At 39.9% G+C, this 19,606-nt stretch overlaps 1 protein-coding gene across 11 annotated transcripts in view; it reads left to right on the top strand.

Moving 5' to 3' along the window:
• Positions 1–19,606, top strand: part of PTPN2 (protein tyrosine phosphatase non-receptor type 2) — a 98,760-nt gene that overhangs the window by 53,751 nt on the left and 25,403 nt on the right. For 8 of the 11 annotated variants that reach the window (NM_080423.3, NM_080422.3, XM_017025884.2 and 5 more), the window contains 3 exons: positions 4,543–4,677; positions 13,122–13,331; positions 16,132–16,284. In NM_080423.3, the coding sequence (NP_536348.1) occupies positions 4,543–4,677; positions 13,122–13,331; positions 16,132–16,284 (498 nt within the window). Of the gene's footprint in view, positions 1–4,542; positions 4,678–11,204; positions 11,274–13,121; positions 13,332–16,131; positions 16,285–19,606 lie in introns of all 11 variants that reach the window. The other 3 variants (NM_001207013.2, XM_047437695.1, XM_024451228.2) reach the window with 2 other exon arrangements.

Raw genomic sequence — 19,606 nt, 5'->3', positions numbered from 1 at the left:
GTCATTTACAGGGGTTTTTCCTGATCTTCAATATCATTTAAAAATTAAGGATTAGGCCAGGCACGGTGCCTCAAACCTGTAATCCCAGCACTTTGGGAGGCCGAGGCAGGCAGATCACTTGAGGTCAGGAGTTTGAGACCAGCCTGGCCAACATGGTGAAACCCCGTCTCTACTAAAAATACAAAATTAGCCAGGTGTAATGCTAGCTACTTGGGAGGCTGAGGCAGGAGAACCGCTTGAACCTAGGAGGTGGAGGTTGCAGTGAGCCGAGATTGTGCCACTGCACCTCAACCTGGATGATAGAATGAGACTCCATCTCAAAACCCACTGCACTGCAGCCTGGGCGGTAGAGTGAGACTCCATCTCAAAAAAGAAAAAAAAAAAAATCAAGGATTATGACATTGTCAGTTTGAGCACCATTGTAGACTACATGATTTGCAAATTTTATTTCTCTCATTTTGGAGTATAATTACTGTATTAATAAGATAACACTGCCACCAGAATTTAGAAATCATGTTTATGGTGGTTGAACCTAGATGGTTAACAAGAGTCAGGTTTAATTATTTTGGGGAAGATTACTTCAGAGGTGGTGGGTAATGTGTTATTCATCAAGAGACCCATAATGTCTGATTATTGTTCTTTTTATTTCATTAATAGCCATTATTGGTCAGTGTTCAGCTTCTTAATTCATTATGGGTTACAAATGATGATAATCCAATTCTGTCATTACTTCTCTTAAAAGCAGTTTTCCAAAAAAAAGTTGATTCCCTATTGAGGTCATCTGTTCTCAACAGATGACCAATTAGGAGTTTTTCTGGTGGAGAGTGGCAGGAGAGGTTGAATTATTATGGGTTTGGACATACTGGATTAATTTTACTCCTTTGCAGTTATTTTCCTTATTTTTGATCAAATTACCCTGTCATTGGCTAGCAGCAATGTCTTTAGGTTGGGTCCTGAGTCCTCTTTTTTTTTTTTTTTTTTTGGAGACAGAGTCTCGCCTGTTGCCCAGGCTGGAGTGCAGTGGCATGATTTCAGCTCACTGCAGCCTCCACTTCCCGGGTTCAAGAGATTCTCCCGTCTCAGCCTCCCGAGCAACTGGGATTACAAGCACCCACCACCATGCCCAGCTAGTTTTTGTAGAGATGGTTTTACCATGTTGGCCAGGCTGGTCTCAAGTTCCTGACCTCAAGTGATACGCCCACCTCGGCCTCCCAAAGTGCTGGGATTACAGGCGTGAGCCACCTCACCCAGCTCTGAGTCCTTTTTAACAAACCTTTAATAGTTTCCTTGGCTGGGTGCAGTGGCTCACACCTGTAATCTCAGCACTTTGGGGAGCTGAGTTGGGTGGATCGCTTGAGCCCAGGAGTTTGAGACCAGCCTGGGCAACATGGTGAAACTCTGTCTCTACAAAAAATACAAAAATTAGCTGGGTGTGGTGGCGCATGCCTGTAGTCCCAGCTACCTGGGGTACTGAGGCAGGAGGATCACTTGAGGCCAGGAAGTCAAGGCTACAGTTAGCTATGGTCGTGCCACTGCACTCCAGCCTGGGGACAGAGCGAGACCCTGTCTCAAAAAAAAAAAATTTTTTTTGCTGTCTGTAATGACTGCATCTCAGGCTCATCTCAAACTCTTGCTGCCCAGACCTGGAACCAGCCATTTCTCTAAGGAGTTTTGGTTTCTTTTAATGGGCAGCAGTATTTCAAGATCACAGCAAAAATAAGGATATATATTGCAACTGGACTGGTCATTGTTTTTAGGGCTTTTCAGTGGACAAAAGCTAAGGAACAATATGCATATGTTAAGATAACATACTTCAAGAGTTCATAATGATATTCCCAGTTCAAATTTGGAACTATAAGTGTTGCTTAGCCCCTTCCATCTTACATCTGCTATTTCCTTTTTCATACCAAGAATCCTGGTTCTCAAAGATATGAGAGATGTAAACTATCTTGTAATGACTCATTTCCTTCTTCCCATATCATATACAATATATAACCATAATCATGATATCATCTGCTACCAAAATAATTACTGAAAATGGTTTACAATTTTTAATATTTTTTTCATTCTCTTCCTGGTGTTTCTGAGTTGTACTTTACAAACTGTAGTCTCTCCCTTACATCTCTTGTAGACTCTTAGTTCTACAAGCAAGCATTATTTAATATTCATCAACAGTCTTTGCTGATGTCTCTCCAGTCATTCTGACTAAAGCTCATTCTCTAGTGGCTCCTAAGGAGGGACTTGTGAGCATTATAGTCTGATTTTTTTACATGTCAGTGATGGTTCATCTGCTGTCTTAATATCTGAAAGTCAGTTTGGCGGGATATAAAATCCTTGGCTCATGTGCTATTCTTTGAACAACTTTTTTTTTCCATTTCCTTCTGGTATTCCACCAAAGTCTAATGGACATCTTATTTCCTTTATAAGTCTCTTGTTCTTTTTATCTGCACTACCCAAAGAATTCTTTTTTTCTTTTTCTTCAGATATTATTAGTTTTACCAAAAATATGTCTTAGTAATTGGCCATTCTGGGTCAGTTTTTACAGGTACATGATGTGTTCTTGAGAGTTTGACTTCAAGTACTTTTTAAAATTTTTTAAATACTTTTTGTTAAAGAAATATTTGTTGAATTACAGTCCTTAGTATTTGTTCTGCTCCCTTGCTTGCTTTAATGTTCTTCTTTGGGTCTTCCTATTATACGTATGTTGGATTTTCTTTGCCTACCTTTTTTATTTGTCACGTTCTCTTTAATCCTGTTTATCTCTTTATTTCTATTTTACTTAAAAAAAATTTTTTTTTTTCTGGCCAGGTTGGAGGGCTTACACCTATAATCCCAGCACTTTGGGAGGCTGAGGCAGGAGGGTCACTTGAGCCCAGGAATTCAAAACCAGCCTCGACAACAAAGTGAGACCCTGCCTCTACAAAAAATACAAAAAGTAGCCAGGTGTGGTGGCACGCACCTGGAGTCCCAGCTGGGGTTGGGGGATTGCTTGAGCCCAGAAGATTGAGGCTGAAGTGAGCCAAGTTCACCCCAGTGCACTCCAGCCTGGGCTACTACAGAGCAAGACACTGTCTCTTAAAAAAAAAAAAAATTATTTATTTTCCTCTTAAGGCATTATTATTATTATTATTTTTTTTTTTTTTTGAGACGGAGTCTCGCTCTGTCGCCCAGGCTGGAGTGCAGTGCTGCTATCTCGACTCACTGCAAGCTCCGCCTCCCAGGTTCACGCCATTCTTCTGCCTCAGCCTCCCAAATAGCTGAGGCTACAGGCGTCCACCACCACACCCGGCTAATTTGTTGTATTTTTAGTAGAGACGGGGTTTCACTGTGTTAGCCAGGATGGTCTCGATCTCCTGACCTCATGATCCGCCTGCCTCAGCCTCCCAAAGTGCTGGGATTACAGGCGTGAGCCACCGCGCTTGGCCAGCAACATTTATTTTGAAGATAAAATTATTGCAAGAGTTTGATAATTTTAGAAACATAAAGTGAATGTCCCATGACGTTAAAATATAGGTAATCATGCTTTAAGAATGATAAATTTATTTTTATTTTATGAATATGATACCTATGGCTTTTTTAGTTTATAAGTTACAGGAACACTTAAAAAATACCTTATAAGACCGGACATGGTGGCTCACGCCTGTAATCCCAGCACTTTGGGAGGCTGAGGTTGGTGGTTCACTTGAGGTCAGGAGTTCAAGACCAGCCTGGCCAACATGGCAAAACCCTGTCTCTACTAAAAATACAAAAATTAGCTGGGTGTGGTGGCAGACGCCTGTAATCCCAGCTGCTCAGAAGGCTGAGGCAGGAGAATTGCTTGAACCCAGGAGGCAGAGGTTGCAGTGAGCCAACATCACGCCACTGCATTCCAGCCTGGGCGACAGAGCAAGACTCCAGCTCAAAAGAAAAGAAAAGCCTATGGAGACAGAAAATGGATCAGTGCTTGCCTGTGGCTTGGAGTGGGAATAGGACACAAGGGGATTTCTGAGTCTGAGAGAAATGTTCTAAAACTGGCTTACAGTGATGACTGCACACACATAAAAAATGCTTTATAAAATTTCAATCTCTACCCGCCCTGCTCCCCGAGATGGAGTCTTGCTCTGTCACCCAGACTGGAGTGCAGTGGAATGATCTTGGCTCACTGCAACCTCCACCTCCTGGGTTCAAGCGATTCTCCTGCCTCACTCTCACAAGTAGCTGGGATTACAGGCGCCCGCCATCGCGCCTAGCTAGTTTTTGTATTTTTAGTAGAGACAGGGTTTCACCATATTAGCCAGGTTGGTCTCGAACTCCTGATCTCAGGTGATCCTCCCGCCTCAGCCTCCCAAATTGTTGGGATTACAGGCGTGAGTCACCGCGCCCGGCTATAAAATTTCAATCTTACTAAAATACATTAAGCGTAGAATATAGTAGTGACTTCTTAGTTTTGGGTACTTGAAAAAATATAGCATGTATATATCTGGTTTGTTTTCATTTTTTAACTTTATGGTTTCATGATGTCTATAAACTAAAAAAAAATCATATACATATTTCTAAATTTAGGTTAAATGTGCACAGTACTGGCCAACAGATGACCAAGAGATGCTGTTTAAAGAAACAGGATTCAGTGTGAAGCTCTTGTCAGAAGATGTGAAGTCGTATTATACAGTACATCTACTACAATTAGAAAATATCAATGTAAGACCTTTCTTGCCCGAAATTGTGGACTTTATATGATGGTTTAAAGAATTATTCTTTATTATTAGATTTGAAGTTTGATAAGCACATGCATTTGGATAATTCCTATAGTATCTAGCCATAATCACGTGTTTTTAGATTGTGTGTCTGCATCTAGTAGCTTTCTGAGGACTCTGAAGAAACAGTAGAAACTAAGAATTTCAAAGTTCAGTTTGATATTTGGGGATTAAAAATTAATTAATAGAAATACATGAGGATTAATAGAGAGGGCTTTAGAATCAGGCAAACCTGGATTCAGATCCAGCTCTGCTGCTTAGTAGAGCTGTACTTTAGACTTGTTCCCCACCCTCACTGATCCCTTCCTCATCTGTAAAATGGAGGTTACCACGCCTTCCCTCCGGGGCTGTCCTGAAGGTCAAATGAGGATGTGTATGCAGAGCACCTGACCTTAGTAAATGCCCAGCAAGCAATAGCTCCCAGGACCTGTGACTGCCAAGAATAGCAAAATAGTCAAGAAAATAACTTACAAAGCTATTGTTAAGTGATTCACAACACAAAAATTTGTCCCTATTGAGTTGGAAAAAAAATGGTGTTTTATATATATATGTAACACGCACACATACATACATACATACACACACATGTATAAATGTGGCATGTGGTCTCAAGAACATTTACTTGGGTGTTTGTTTGGTTGGTTGGTTGGTTGGTTGATTGGTTTTTTGAGACAGTCTTGCTTTGCCACCCAGGCTGGAGTACAGTGGCATAATCACAGCTCTCAATGAGGCCTCCAACTCCTGGCCTCAAGAAATCCTCCCACTTCAGCCTCCTGAGTATCTGGGATTACAGGCATGAGCCACCATACCTAATTTTCTTATTTTTTTTTAATAGAGATGGGGTCTTGCCTTGTTATCCAGGCTGGTCTCAAACTCCTGAGCTCAAGCGATCCTCCCACCTTGGCCTCCCAAAGTGTTGAGGTTACAGTCATGAGCCACCATGCCAGGCCTTACTTGCATTTTTCTTCCCCAGAAACATATGAACTGTTCCTTGGGCCTTGGTTGAGGTACATACACATAGTGGGTTATGAACCTGCTGTTGCCAGGGTGATGATTGAGGCATTTCTCCCCCTTTCGCCATTTACCTCTTTTGCCCTCTTTGTGTTGTAATAGAATAAACTAGAAAATAATGAAATGAGAGTAATTCTGAGATGCTAATAGAAACTGTGATAGCTTGAAAATAGGAGAATGTTTAGCCTCATATGACTTTAGGAATGTATGTAGTCTATAAGTGAAATACTGTTTTAGTTAACCATTAAGTAAATTAAGTGATCACTAACAATACAAAAAAACCTTAAAGAGAAGGGAGATATATACATGCTTTTTAGATGTGTGGCAGTCCCTTTTATGGTGGATCCCTTGAAACACTTGTGTTTTTTGCTGCATTGAGTAAGCACAGGTGCATGCTCTGTGCGTGAGGCCTAGGTTCTGGTTTTCCTTCTGTCCAGCTTCCCGTGACATCCGTACTAAGCTTATTATACAGTCTCTTGAGTCACCTAAAAAGGCTCAAAATTACGAATGATAATGCTTAGATTTATTTATACATTCCCATTACTATATTTATTTTGTCCCAACTCTTTCCATTTACATGTGTCTTAAACTGCATTGAGATACATCAATAACTCTTTGATACTGGACTGAGCTGTACATTGTTCATTCCCAGAAACAGAACTGTATTTCCACAAGGTTCTGAAAGTTCTCTGAATCATCTTCTCTTGGTATTTATCCCAGGTAATTACTCATTTGCTTATGGCATTAAAATTGATTTAGATGAAGGGCATAGATGTGTTTCCCTGTTTCTGAAACAGTCCTTATTGAGAATTGATTATACCTTAAGTAACAATAAAATAGAATGATTTTTGTGTTTTGTTTATCAGATTCCAAAATGCTTTCACATATATATCATCTGACCAGTAGTCTTCAGTTAGTGTAGATAGTGTAAATATTCTTATTATCCCCGTATTTTATATTATAAAAAATAATAGTTAAAATCCATTAGGTTATAGGAATTTTTCCATCGATTACTTAGCTAATAAGTGACAGACTGATCTCATTAGTTCTCCTGGTCCCCTATTTTTTAAGACAAAGTCTCATTCTGTTGCCCAGGCTGGAGTGCAGTGGCATGATCTTGGCTCATTGCAGCCTCCACCTCCTGGATTCAAGTGATTCTCCTGTCCTAGCCTCCCGAGTAGCTGGGAATACAGGTGTGCACCACCACGCCTGGCTAATTTTTTGTATTTTTAGTAGAGATGGGGTTTCGCTGTGTTGGCCAGACTGATCTTGAACTCCTGACTTCAGGTGATCTGCCCGCCTCAGCCTCCCAAAGTGCTGGGATTACAGGTGTGAGCCAACACGCCCGGCCATCTCCTAACTTTTGACATGGGGATAAGTCCTTTTGAAAAGATGCTAATTGTTGTAAAGAGAGATTATTGATTCTGAAGCATCTTTCTGGAGTTGAGGCCATCATGTGAGTTGGCCAGCCACTCTGTTTTAGTTGCTAGCAACTGTGTGGTATAATGACATGATCACTGGATTTTTTATTGGCCTGGGTTTAGAACATACCACAATATAATAGCAAGAATTTGTTTGTGTTCTACTTTATAATTTTTAATTAGAACTAGGGATTCTTTATTCTTTAGAAGGATAAAGTAGCATTTCAGTATGAGAGGCAGAATTACATTTGCCTAAGTAGATAACCTCTAGAATCAGATAGCCCAAGTTTAAATCCTGACTCTGCCATTCTTGCTGAGTGACTTGGGTCACATTACTTTACTATAGATGATAAACAGTACCTGTTTTATCATCTATAAAATGAGGGTGATAACGTACCTACTTCATAGGATTGCTCTAAGGATCAAGTGAGTTAATATCATGATGGTGCGGGAGCCACAATTACCTTTTTAGTTGATCAGTTTCCTTTTTGTAACAGTAATGAATTGGAAGGGACAACAGGAACCGGGAGTAGTTGAAAAGGATACTAGCAAGAAAGAAAGAACCAATGGGAGTGAGAAAAAGTGATGATGGAGTAGGGGGCTGATAGCCAATCTCAACACGCAGATCTCTGTCTTTATTGGAGTCGCTGGGGTGCAGAGATCCAGTTTGCATCTAAGGGAGTCTGACACGTATCTATTAACAAGTCCAAAGGTAAAGCTGTTGTCTAAGCAAGCCCTGCGCCTCCTCCAGTCTAATGGAACAGCAAAATGACATACCAGGAGCCCTTTAGTGACTTACTTAAAGCTAAAAGTTTGAACTCTTGCCCCTGAAGAAGAGATTGCATCTCGGCTTTCAGTGTGGCCTGTGGCTTAAGCTATGGAGATAATTTTGAGGGATTTTAAAAATATAAGGTCATCTAGAGTACTTGTCTTTCAGTTTTTTCTTTTTAGTTGCCCTTCACTATTTCTGTAATGTTGGCCCGCTTTACGTTTAGTGAGTTCCAGGAATACTGTTATAATGCTGACTGTCTTCTATTTCCCTGTCCCTAAAGATTTAGCAAGATGAGAGTCTCTAATTATTATGATGCTTAGCTGGGATTTGGTTCAAAATAGTTTAAACAGTTTATTCTACCTAGAATGTCCTCTCTCTTCTCTGCACGTCCTTAGTAACCCCTGTGGCCCACTTCTTACTTAGGTCTCTCCTAACATGTATCTATGACACATTGATCCCTAACAGCTATGATTCTTCTTATACTTTTTCAGTAATTTAAATTTTATCATTCTACTGCTTGTTCAATACATCTCTCTATGTAAATCTTGACTCCATAATGAGGTTTTTAACTTCGAAGGGGTTGGAAGTTATCTGCTGCCTTGGTACCCCCCCGCCATTACACAAGAGTACATTTTAAGCACATTACACCTGAGTGATTGTTGTAAAACACAGATGCAATCTTTCCACCATCCTCTAAGAATTCTTCTGTGGCTTCCATTGGTTACCAAAAAAAGTCTGTGTCCAGTGCACAAGACCATGACCCAGCTCAGCCTGGTCCTTGCCTCCTTGTCTAACTCCCTCTCCTTCGGGTATCCAGGATTTGTTCGTGCTAACAGACAGACTTCTCTAATAGGTGAATTCCTTGGTGGGGGTGGGTGGCATGCCTTTGCATATTGCTTTCTCTCTGCTGAGAATGCAAGCCTGTCCCTAGCCGTTTCTGCCACTCCTCCTGATCTGGTGAGTTTGATCTGCCTTTCACAATGAATCCCAGTCAGTAAATATTTATCACTGACATGCTGACCCTGGCAAAAATTGATGAGAGACTCAACTAAGGCAGTGATAGTGAAGGTACAGATTTGACATCTGGTTAGGACATAGGGTTGACAAACTTTGTCACTCTTTAGGTGTAGAGGAAATACCCAATGAAGAGGTTGAAAATGTGTTGAGTTTTACAATTGACTGGAGCTTTCTAGGGGCCACAATAAAGGCAATTGGTGAGTATAGTTGTTTTAAAAATATCCAGTATCTGTTAAGCATTTACCATGTGCAGGGATATGGCAGGCACTTCACATTAATTGTTTTATTTATTCCTTAACAACAGTTTTGTAAGGTAAGTAGTATTATTAACCCTATTTACAGATGACAGAACTGGGGCTTAGTGAAAGTCTTTTAGAAACAAAATCTTGGTACCTTCCATATATACCTAAAGTGTGAAAGTAATTGGGCCTGGGGTCATAGAGCTGTATAGATTTTTTATGATAATTGGAAAATGTATAATCTTATTATATATTTATGATGATTATTAACTTGCATTTGAAGGCTGTGAACAGGGCATATGCTTAAATTGCTGTGGCCTAACAATTCCTGTTGTTACACTTGCTCAACTCACAGGTTATTTTCCTGGCTTCATATATGCAAGTTTGACATTGCTGTTCAAAGACTTTAAATTTAGAATTCTCTTTTAAAAATGTAAATGGGATTTTGCCTTAGAACAGCAAGCCACTGACATTTTGTGCAGAATGTAGTATACATAATGCAGAGTTTTACACAGAAAACTTGGCAGGCATGTGTGGAACGGCTGCAGACAGGGACAGCCTATAATTGTGGGTGCAACCCGCGTGTGTGTAGGGAGGGGGGTGAAGCAGCGAGAAGGGTGGAGGGCAGCAGCTGGGGACCAGAGGAGAAGTAGTGTGACTCGGTGACCAAGGAGAAGAAAAGGGTGCTTCCACAGTTTTGAAAATAAGGAGTTTGCCAAAAATTGTAAAGTCTAAATGCAGACCTTGTTTGGAATAAAGATGAATTTCGTTTTAGCTCTGTATCCTTTGGCAACCCTTTTTTTCCCCTCTCATTTTTTTTCCTGCGTGAAAAAGAGGGAAAGGGGTCCATCCAGTCATGCATATGAATGTTTCTATACCAGAGTAGTAAATATATGCATCTTATGCCTTCGTGTGGTCCTTTGTAACTGTGAATTATGATTTTGGAAAGCTGTGTTTTTTTAATCTTGTTTCTGTAAGGATAAATTAATCAAAGTTAACCTCTCAAAAAAGTCCTGGTTCTGTAGGGGGGAAAAAAAACAACAACTGATTTTCAAAAATCTATTAGTGGGGAAGACTATATTATACAAATAGTCATGAGCATTTCTGGGAACTGGCTTCCAATATCCCAGACAGCGTGACCTGAATGTGAAAAAAGTTGAGACCACTAGTTTTGAGCCAAAATCATACAAGCAAAGAGAAAGCAAGCTGTTGCCCAAGATTGTGGGGTAACCATATGTTTGAGCCAGGACTTGATGAAGTAATTGTGCGCAGGACCCCGTAGGGGTACTGGGCCGTAGCCCACAGAGCACTGCAGGCCCCTGCTCAAAGCAGACCACATGAAGGCCCACACAGACTGAGTCTGGTCCTGCTGGTGGCCGCAGCAAGTAAGAAACAAAGTGGGTTATTAACATCCACTGGAATCTTAACCTCATTTAAAGGAAAACTTGACTTTGAGTTAACTGTATCCCCCCCACCCCCCGCTGTCAAGAACCCACCTCTCTAGCTCATTCCTGTGTCAGTGTTGCCGTATTAACTGCCCACCTGCTGCTTTGTAAAAGGAGACTAGAGTTTACCCTTCTTATTTTAGAATGTTTTGAATTCTCTTTTTTAATGCAATAAATTTAATTTACCTTTTTTTTTTAACCTACAATAAGATTGATTCCTTTTGGTGTACAGTCGTGTTGTGACTTTTGACAGTGCATTCAGTCATGTAACCACTGCCCATAACAGAAACATAGATCGGTTCTGTCACCTCTCCCCTGCCCCAGATGTTCTTGTGTTGCTTGTGTACAGTCAGTCCTGTCCTCTACCCCCAGCCAGAAACCAGTAATCTGGTTTCTGTTTCTGTTTTTCTGCCTTTTCCAGAATGTCATAAAAATGGAATAGTATAGTATATAGCCTTTAGTCTGGCTTTGTTCACTTACCATAATTAATTTAAAAATAAATGTCTTAAAGCGTAGAAACCATGATCATTTTAATTTGTAATGGAGAAATTTTTTATTGCTTTTAGTATATTGAGAACTTGTGGATCACACTGTATTTGAAATTATTAATGCTGGATGTTAAAAGGTCACTAAAAGTATGTACTTTTTAGAAAATTTATTTCACTGTATTTTATTAGTATTATACCTTATATACTGAGTCTGGGACATAGAAGTCTTAATTTCTACTGCAAAATGGATTTTTTTTTTTTTTTTTGAGATGGAGTTTCGCTCTCGTTGTCCAGGCTGGAGTACAATGGCACGATCTCGGCTCACCACAACCTCCGCCTCCCGGGTTCAAGCGATTCTCCCACCTCAGCCTCCCAAGTAGCTGGGATTACAGGCATGCACCTCTATGCCCAGATAAGGTTTGTATTTTTAGTAGAGACGGGGTTTCTCTATGTTGGTCAGGTTGGTCTCGAACTCCTGACCTCAGGTGATCCACCCGCCTCAGCCTCCCAAAGTGCTGGGATTATAGGTGTGAGCCACTGCGCCCGGCCGAAAATTTATATTTTTAAAGCGAAAGCTAACTTCTAATTTTGAAAATTTTTATTGGGAGCAGGATATTATAATAATAATCTTTAGTTGTTAAACCATTAAACATCAAGGTTTTTTACATTGTTTCTATGCCTCCTCCCTCAAAAAAAAAAAACCTCCTACAATAAAACTGAAAAATTGCACAAAGACATATTAGTGGAAGACCACTGCTTCGTTTACACAAATGAAGAGTATAAAGCAGAGAAGTGCTCCTTGGGGCAAAAGGCAATTGGCAAAAAGCTAAGGAACATTTTCATAATGAGTTAGAAATACAGATCATCAGGAATATCCAGGAAGCGATAGTGAATACCAGGCAGGCTTAAGAGACAGGAAACATTTAGCATGTTGGTAAACCACTTTAGCACATCAGCAAAAGCATATAAACAGCTTTAGGATTGGAAATTATTGCCATGGGGAAAGGCAACAATTTAGAGGAGCAATTCCAATTAAAAATATAAAGATCGTTTCTTTAGATTAATTCTTGAGTTGCTCCCCTATGCCTGTGTAGCAGAATCTAAAAGATAATCATGTGAACGGGAGATTATATTTAAAAAATAAACTTTGAAATTCATAAAAAGGAAAATGTTAAAGAATGTAAAATTATACTGGTAGAAAAAAAATTTTTTTTTTTGAAGATGGAGTTTCACTCTTGTTGCCCAAGCTGGCGTGCAATGGCACGATCTCTGCTCACTGCAACCTCCACCTCCCAGGTTCAAGCAATTCTCCTGCCTCAGCCTCCCAAGTAGCTGAGATTACAGGCACGCGCCACCACGCCTGGCTAATTTTTTGTATTTTTAGTAGAAACGGGGTTTCACCATGTTGGCCAGGCTGGTCTCGAACTCCTGACCTCAAGTGATCTGCCCACCTCGGCCTCCCAAAGTGCTGGGATTACAGGCATGAGCCATTGCACCCGGCAGAAATTTTTTAAAATAGAAAAAAATAGCCCATTCATGATACATGAATTAAAGAAAATATTGGTAACATGTATGGTAACAGATTAGTAGCTGAGAACCCAAAGGCTGCCCCAGGTTGCTTCAAATCCTGGTTCTGCCATGTTCCAGCTGTGTGACCTTGGGCAAACTATCTTACCCTTTGTTTCAGTTTCCTCATCAGGAAAATGGGCTTTAATAGGATTATTGTGTGGATTGAGTTAATAAGTAAAGTGCTTAGAACAGGCCTCCAAAATAGTAAGTGTTGTATGCGTTAGCTATTATTAATACATCACAAATTTCCACTAAAGAAAATCTTCCCTAGTTTGTATATGGGATTGTCAGAAAACAAATGGAAAAATCATAGTATAAACAGCCTATATGGCTTTAAAGAATTATATAAAACACATGATCTTTCTGAAGTAGTTTTTTAAAAGAAAAAAGTTAGAACTAACTTCTCCCTTGATTTTCACTTTTTAGAGTGGTGAAACCAGAACAATATCTCACTTTCATTATACTACCTGGCCAGATTTTGGAGTCCCTGAATCACCAGCTTCATTTCTCAATTTCTTGTTTAAAGTGAGAGAATCTGGCTCCTTGAACCCTGACCATGGGCCTGCGGTGATCCACTGTAGTGCAGGCATTGGGCGCTCTGGCACCTTCTCTCTGGTAGACACTTGTCTTGTTTTGGTAAGTGCTTCTTACGATCTCATTTTAATCTCATTGATTTTTTTTTTTAAATTGCTTCCACTGGCAGTGAATAAACTCTGATGCTGTATCCCAGAACTGAGGTTTTTCAACTTAAACTTCTACTTTTGGAAAAACCTAAAAATCTCATTTCCACCGTTGCAACTGCCTCTTATTCATGACTGGTAGGAATGTATCCATGATGATTTTAGAGATCCCTAAGAAGGTGTTTTTCTTCCTGGTAGCTTTATATTACAGAAATAATAGGTCTCTCCCCCACATTTTTTCAAATATAAATTCATATGTAATATTGAATTCCTTCCTCCTCAGACAGATACTTTATCTCATTTTTTAAATTTAAAAACTAGGGATAATGATAGACATACTTCACAGGGTTCCTGTGAGAATTCAATGAATTAATACATTAAGGAGACTTAGAAGAGTCCCTGATGTTTTCTGAGCATTCCATAAATGTCAGTATTACTGTTACTCCCCTGAGGTTCCTGTCTGTGCCCCCAACGGCTAATTCTTTCTCCACCAGTCATTCCCAGTCCCAGCCTGTATACAGCCTAGATCTTTTCTTCTCTTTTTAGGACCTTTATTTTTTCGTTACTTGGGATACATGAAACTTCTGTTTGCCCTTATACTTCTCCTAACTTCTGTCTTTACTTCTTCCTCTTATTATAGGATCAAACCCAACAATAATACTGTCTGCTTTGATTTCCATGCCATCTACTCCTTCAGTAGTCCCTGCAGCTTAGTTTCTGCTTTCTGAGCGTGTTCTAAGATTATCAATAACCTAAGCAGTTTAGCTTGTCCTGGTATTCAGTCTGGTGGGGATTTTGTTTTTGTCTTTGTTTAGACAGAGTCTTGCCCTGTCACCCAGGCTGGAGTACAATGGTGCAATCACTGCTCACTGCAGCCTCAACCTCCTGGACTCAAGTGATCCTCCCACCTCAGCCTCCCAAGTAGCTGCCTGCACCACCACACCCAACTAGTTTTTGCTTTTTTATTTTTAGTAGAGACAAGGCCTCACTATCTTGGCCAGGCTAGTCTCAAATTCCTGGGCTCAAGTGATCTTCTTGCCTCAGCCTGCCAAAATGCTGGGATTACAGGTTTGAGCCACCACGCTTGACACAAGACTGGTGTTCTTAACCTTGACTTTAAGGCCCTGTATTAGTCTCTTCGATGTTTCTGTAAAACGTAGCTATGCTTCATTGCAGTTATGTCAGCATTCTTATGCTTTCCACCATGACTGCCAGCACAAAGTAGATTCCCAGGTGAATTAATATGATGATGCTTTTCATTGTAAACACACACACAAGGAGCTTGATCAATGGAGTGATACTCTTGGAAGGAGTGATACTCTTGGAAGAACATTTCAGACGTTGCATCTCTAATGAAAGCTAGGAATTGGGAACGGTTGAGTCTTAACTAAACATCTGTATTACTTTACCACTCTGCGTATATATAGTATACTTCAATCAAAATTAGATTGTTACATCAAAGTTTTAAAACTCTGGTGATTATTTTGTTAATGACACCTGTTCCCTGCCAACTATAACTTCAACAATTTTTTTTCTTTTATTTTTGGTGAGCCTGGGTGTGGGGATTCTAACACTAGGTCAGTAGTCCAGAGCAGTGCTGTAGCTCAGCAGTGTTATCGTGGATCTGGGCTTTTGCTGTCTTTTCCACCGTCTTTCTTCATTTTATTTTATTATTCTATTTATTTATTTATTTATTTATTTGAGACGAAGTTTCGCTCTGTTGCCAGGGTGGAGTGCAGTGGTGCAATCTCAGCTCACTGCAACCTCCGCCTCCCGGGTTCAAGAGATTCTCCTGCCTCAGCCTCCCGAGTAGCTGGGACTACAAGTGCGTACCACCATGCCCAGCTAATTTTTGTATTTTTAGTAGAGACGGGGTTTTACCATGTTGTCCAGGAAGGTCTCAATCTCTTGACCTCATAATCTGCCCACCTTGGCCTCCCAAAGTGCTGGGATTACAGGTGTGACCCACCACATTTTTATTTATTTATTTATTTATTTATTTATTTATTTATTTATTTATTTATTTTTGAGATGGAGTCTCGCTCTGTCGCCCAGGCTGGAGTATAGTGGCACTATCTGACCTCACTGCAACCGCCGCCTCCTGGGTTCAGGCGATTCTCCAGCCTCAGCCTCCAATGTAGCTGGGATTACAGACATGCGCCGCCACACCCAGCTAATTTTTGTATTTTTAGTAGAGATGGCATTTCGCGATGTTGGCCAGGCTGGTCTCTAGCTCCTGGCCTCAAGTGATTTGGCCTCCCAAAGTGTTGGGATTACAGGCATGAGCCATCATGCCTGGCCTCTTTTCCACCATTGTTAGATGGGTGCTGTATATCCAGACATCGTGTCTGTAGTGCAGACATGAAGGAGGCGGAAGGGGAATGAGCAGAAAGGTTGACTCCTGCCATGACTTTTAAAAAAAAAAATAGTCCTTATACTAGCCAGAACTGGTTATAAATCCTTCCTTTAACCAATGACTGGCCAGAAGGAATGAGATTACTATGATTGGTTTGGAATCAGTTGTGAATCAGCTAAAGAATCAAAGTCCTCCAACTACTTGAGGGGTTGAGATGTGGGGAGGGATGAGTAGGCTGGGATAGTTGTTGTGTACATAACAGTTATAGCTGGAGGGTTAAATTATCGTTGTTCTTTCAGAGGAGAAAATGCATAGCAAAAATCTTAGCAATGATCTTGCATTGATTCTGTTTCCTGGGTTCCAATAACAAGACTTGTCTCATTTTTTGCCTTTCTTGCAGATGGAAAAAGGAGATGATATTAACATAAAACAAGTGTTACTGAACATGAGAAAATACCGAATGGGTCTTATTCAGACCCCAGATCAACTGAGATTCTCATACATGGCTATAATAGAAGGAGCAAAATGTATAAAGGGAGATTCTAGTATACAGGTAAACTTCATACAGGTTTTAAATCATATCTATTTGTTAAATACACATAGCATCAAATAACTGCACTCCACTTGAGCCCTTGTCTTTGTTTCAAAGAGTGTATTTGAATTTTTGTGGTAAATCCAGCTGGCTGTCTTAAAATTGTAAAATTTTAGCTAGCTTCCTCATATATACTCAGCCTCAGGTTAAATCCTGTGTGTTACTTAAAAGCCCTTGTAGAAACAAGATTTCATTAAAGAAACTGAATTTTTCATTTTGGGGGTGGTTAATCTTTTAATTATTAAAGTAACTGGAAACTTGAGATACTTTTGCCTTCATTAAACACTGATACTTGGTTTATGTGATATTTGACTTTATAACAACAAGCAACTTGAATATTTATGGCAGATATAATGAAATTCCAGCAAAATGTTATATTCTTCTGGTTGGTGGCTTTATTCTCATTAAGCTATTTTTACTGCATATTTGTAGAACCTAAGTTCAAAGACTGATCAGAAACTTGTGTTATGTACTAAGTTAAAATGTAAAATAGAAACAACCACAGACTCCATTTTTTGTCTGGTTTAATCACATAGTATTGGACATAAGCAGATACTGTAAGTTGATGCATAATATAAGAAGATCGACTGTCTTTTCATTATGTTTCTCATGTGTGAACATATTTACTAGCACTTTCATTTCTCTGATTACTAGCCAATATAAGAATGTAAATTAGATCGGACCATTGGTGTCAGAATAAAGGTTTATTTAAAAAGATTTTTTCCAAATCTTTAAATAGCATTAAAATATTCTTAATGCACAGAAACATTAGGGCACTCAGAGCCAAAATACGCAATGTTTGGGAAACTCAGCCCATTAGAACATGTCCTGCTTCAGACGCCAGACTTTGGGAACACTGGATTTGCCAGGGTCACTTTGGCAGTGATCAGTGATTTAGGTGAAGTAAAAGTTATTTCAGATGTTTAAGATTAGGAAAATTTCCCTTTCTAATCACAGTGAGCTTTCACCAACTTAAATCTGGAGTTCAAAAAGAAAAGTAGTTCAATCAGATTTCCCCATGCCTTCACAGCCTGCATGCCGCCTTCCCTGCCTGCTTCCTGGCTGTGATGAGACGGGTAACTGGGAGGGAAATGTATTGTCCTTTGGATTGTGTCTTTCCTACCACTGCTTTTTTTTTTTTTAAGTTTTGTGTCTTTAGTTTTAGAATACATACTTTATCTGAGGGTGGATCTTTTTTTATCACAGAGATGAGTTTTTCTGGACACACTTTTTTGTGGAGTCTTTGACAGTGCAGTTTGTGGCTAGGAAGGATTTTTTTTCTGTTAATTTATCTGGTGTGATATTGTCCTCAGGCTCTCAATTCTAAGGCATTTTCTGCCCCTATTCCAGATAGGATATTGGAAACATCTTTATCCTTCAGGTACTCAGGATCAGAAAAGCATGCTGCCCATTCCAAGGGGTTAATTTCTGCAGAAATGGTCTTGGCATTCTGAGAATCTTTTTTAATTGGTGCATTTAGACCATCGGCATATGAAGTGATTACTGATAAAGTTGGATTAATAAATACATACCACACATGCTACTGGTTTTTTTTTCTTTTTTTGAGACGCAGTTTTGCTCTTGTTGCCCAGACTGGAGTGCAATGGCACAATCTCGGTTCACTGCAGCCTCTGCCTCCCAGGTTCAAGTGGTTCTCCCCACTCAGCCTTCCGAGTAGTTGGGATTACAGGTGCCTGCCACCACTCCTGGCTAATTTTGCATTTTTAGTAGAGATGGGGTTTCACAGTGTTGACCAGGCTGGTCTCGAACTCCTGACCTCAAGTGATCGCCCACCTCGGCGTCCCAAAGTGCTGAGATTACAGGCGTGAGCCACCGCACCCAGCCCAAAGTGATTGTATCTTAAGTCTGTAAATATGTGTAATTATAATCTTAAAGCATGTATTCATTTACAGAAAACTTCCAATGACTTTGACATTCCTATAGACATATAGGCTATTTGCAATTGCCTTTCAGCACAAGGTCAGGCATAAATACTTAAGCTGGTTGCTGGTATTACCACATATTTATTAGCATATTCCCAGTATTGATGATGACAGTTAACCCCCCAGAGTAAATATCTAGTTTGGCAATTCAGAACTAATGTTGTAAGATCTCTAGCTGGTAATTTGATATTACTAATAAAGTATTAAATGTAAATGATAAACTTTTAACAAATTACAGAGGATTTGAAGTTTAATTGCATTGCTTAAAGCTTTCTTCAGTGAGAGAAATGGGTAGAGCTAGGGTTCTAGGCATTGTGTGGGGGGCATGGCTCCTAGTGGCAGTGACTCATGGGTTGGTGCAACGTGAGCACAGAATTAGAAAGAAAGATGAAACAGTACCAGGCCTCAAAATGAGAGCTCCTTTGAGGTTATAGTTTAGTGAAATGTAATTCCTTGGCTTCACCAGTCAGCATTAATGACCTGAGGCAGGTGACTCAGGAGTGCTGGCTCCCTTGTGTGTCACAGGGAGGACAGAGACGAGTGAGTTTGCTGAACCTATATAGGCATGAGTGAGTTTGCTGAACATAGGCACGAGTGAGTCTGCTGATCATAGCCATGAATGAGTCTGTCGAACATAGCCATGAGTGAGTTTGCTGAACATAGCCATGGCAAAATGACATTGTTGGGTTTGTGGGGTTTTTTTAATTCACTAGCATTAAATATCTCTTTTATTTCTCTCTCTGCCGAGTGCTTTCCTTGTTGACGTATTCTGAATTTGTTGCATATTCTGGGAAGTGGTCCAGTGAGACTTGATTTTTGGTGTCATCTTATTTGTTGACATTGTTGAGTGTTGTCCAGCTATAAGGCCAAGTTACATAACTAGGTCTCAGTCAAGAGTGGAAACTTCAAAAATTGACCAGTGTAAATTCTGGAGACAATTTAACATTTTTGTGGGGTACTTTGTTGAACACACATCTTTATAAGGGGTCACAGCATAGTCAACCCAGACTTGCCTAGGTTAAAATTCTGTCTCTACTATTTGTTAGGTGCATATCCTTGGGCGAGTTACCTAATTATTCTCCCCACATCTTCCGTAAAAAGGGTGTAATAATGGTAATATTAGTATTAGTGCTTATCTCCTAAGGTTATTGTGAGGATTAAGAGCTAGCACATTTGAAGTGTTAGAATATGGCATGGAGAGTAGCAAGTACTCCATGTCTTCACTATAAAAGATTTGGATTGAGTAACAAAACAAACAAGGGAACAAAGAAAATAGACAGTCATCTAAGTGAAGACATCCTTAATTACTCCTGTGTTCCATTATATTGTAGTTTCTTGAT

The sequence above is a fragment of the Homo sapiens genome, chromosome 18 (assembly GCF_000001405.40).
Source record: "Homo sapiens chromosome 18, GRCh38.p14 Primary Assembly".
NCBI classification, from domain to species: Eukaryota; Metazoa; Chordata; class Mammalia; order Primates; family Hominidae; genus Homo; species Homo sapiens.
The sequence above is the reverse complement of the archived record's forward strand: the minus strand, read 5'-3'. Positions and strand labels throughout refer to the sequence as shown.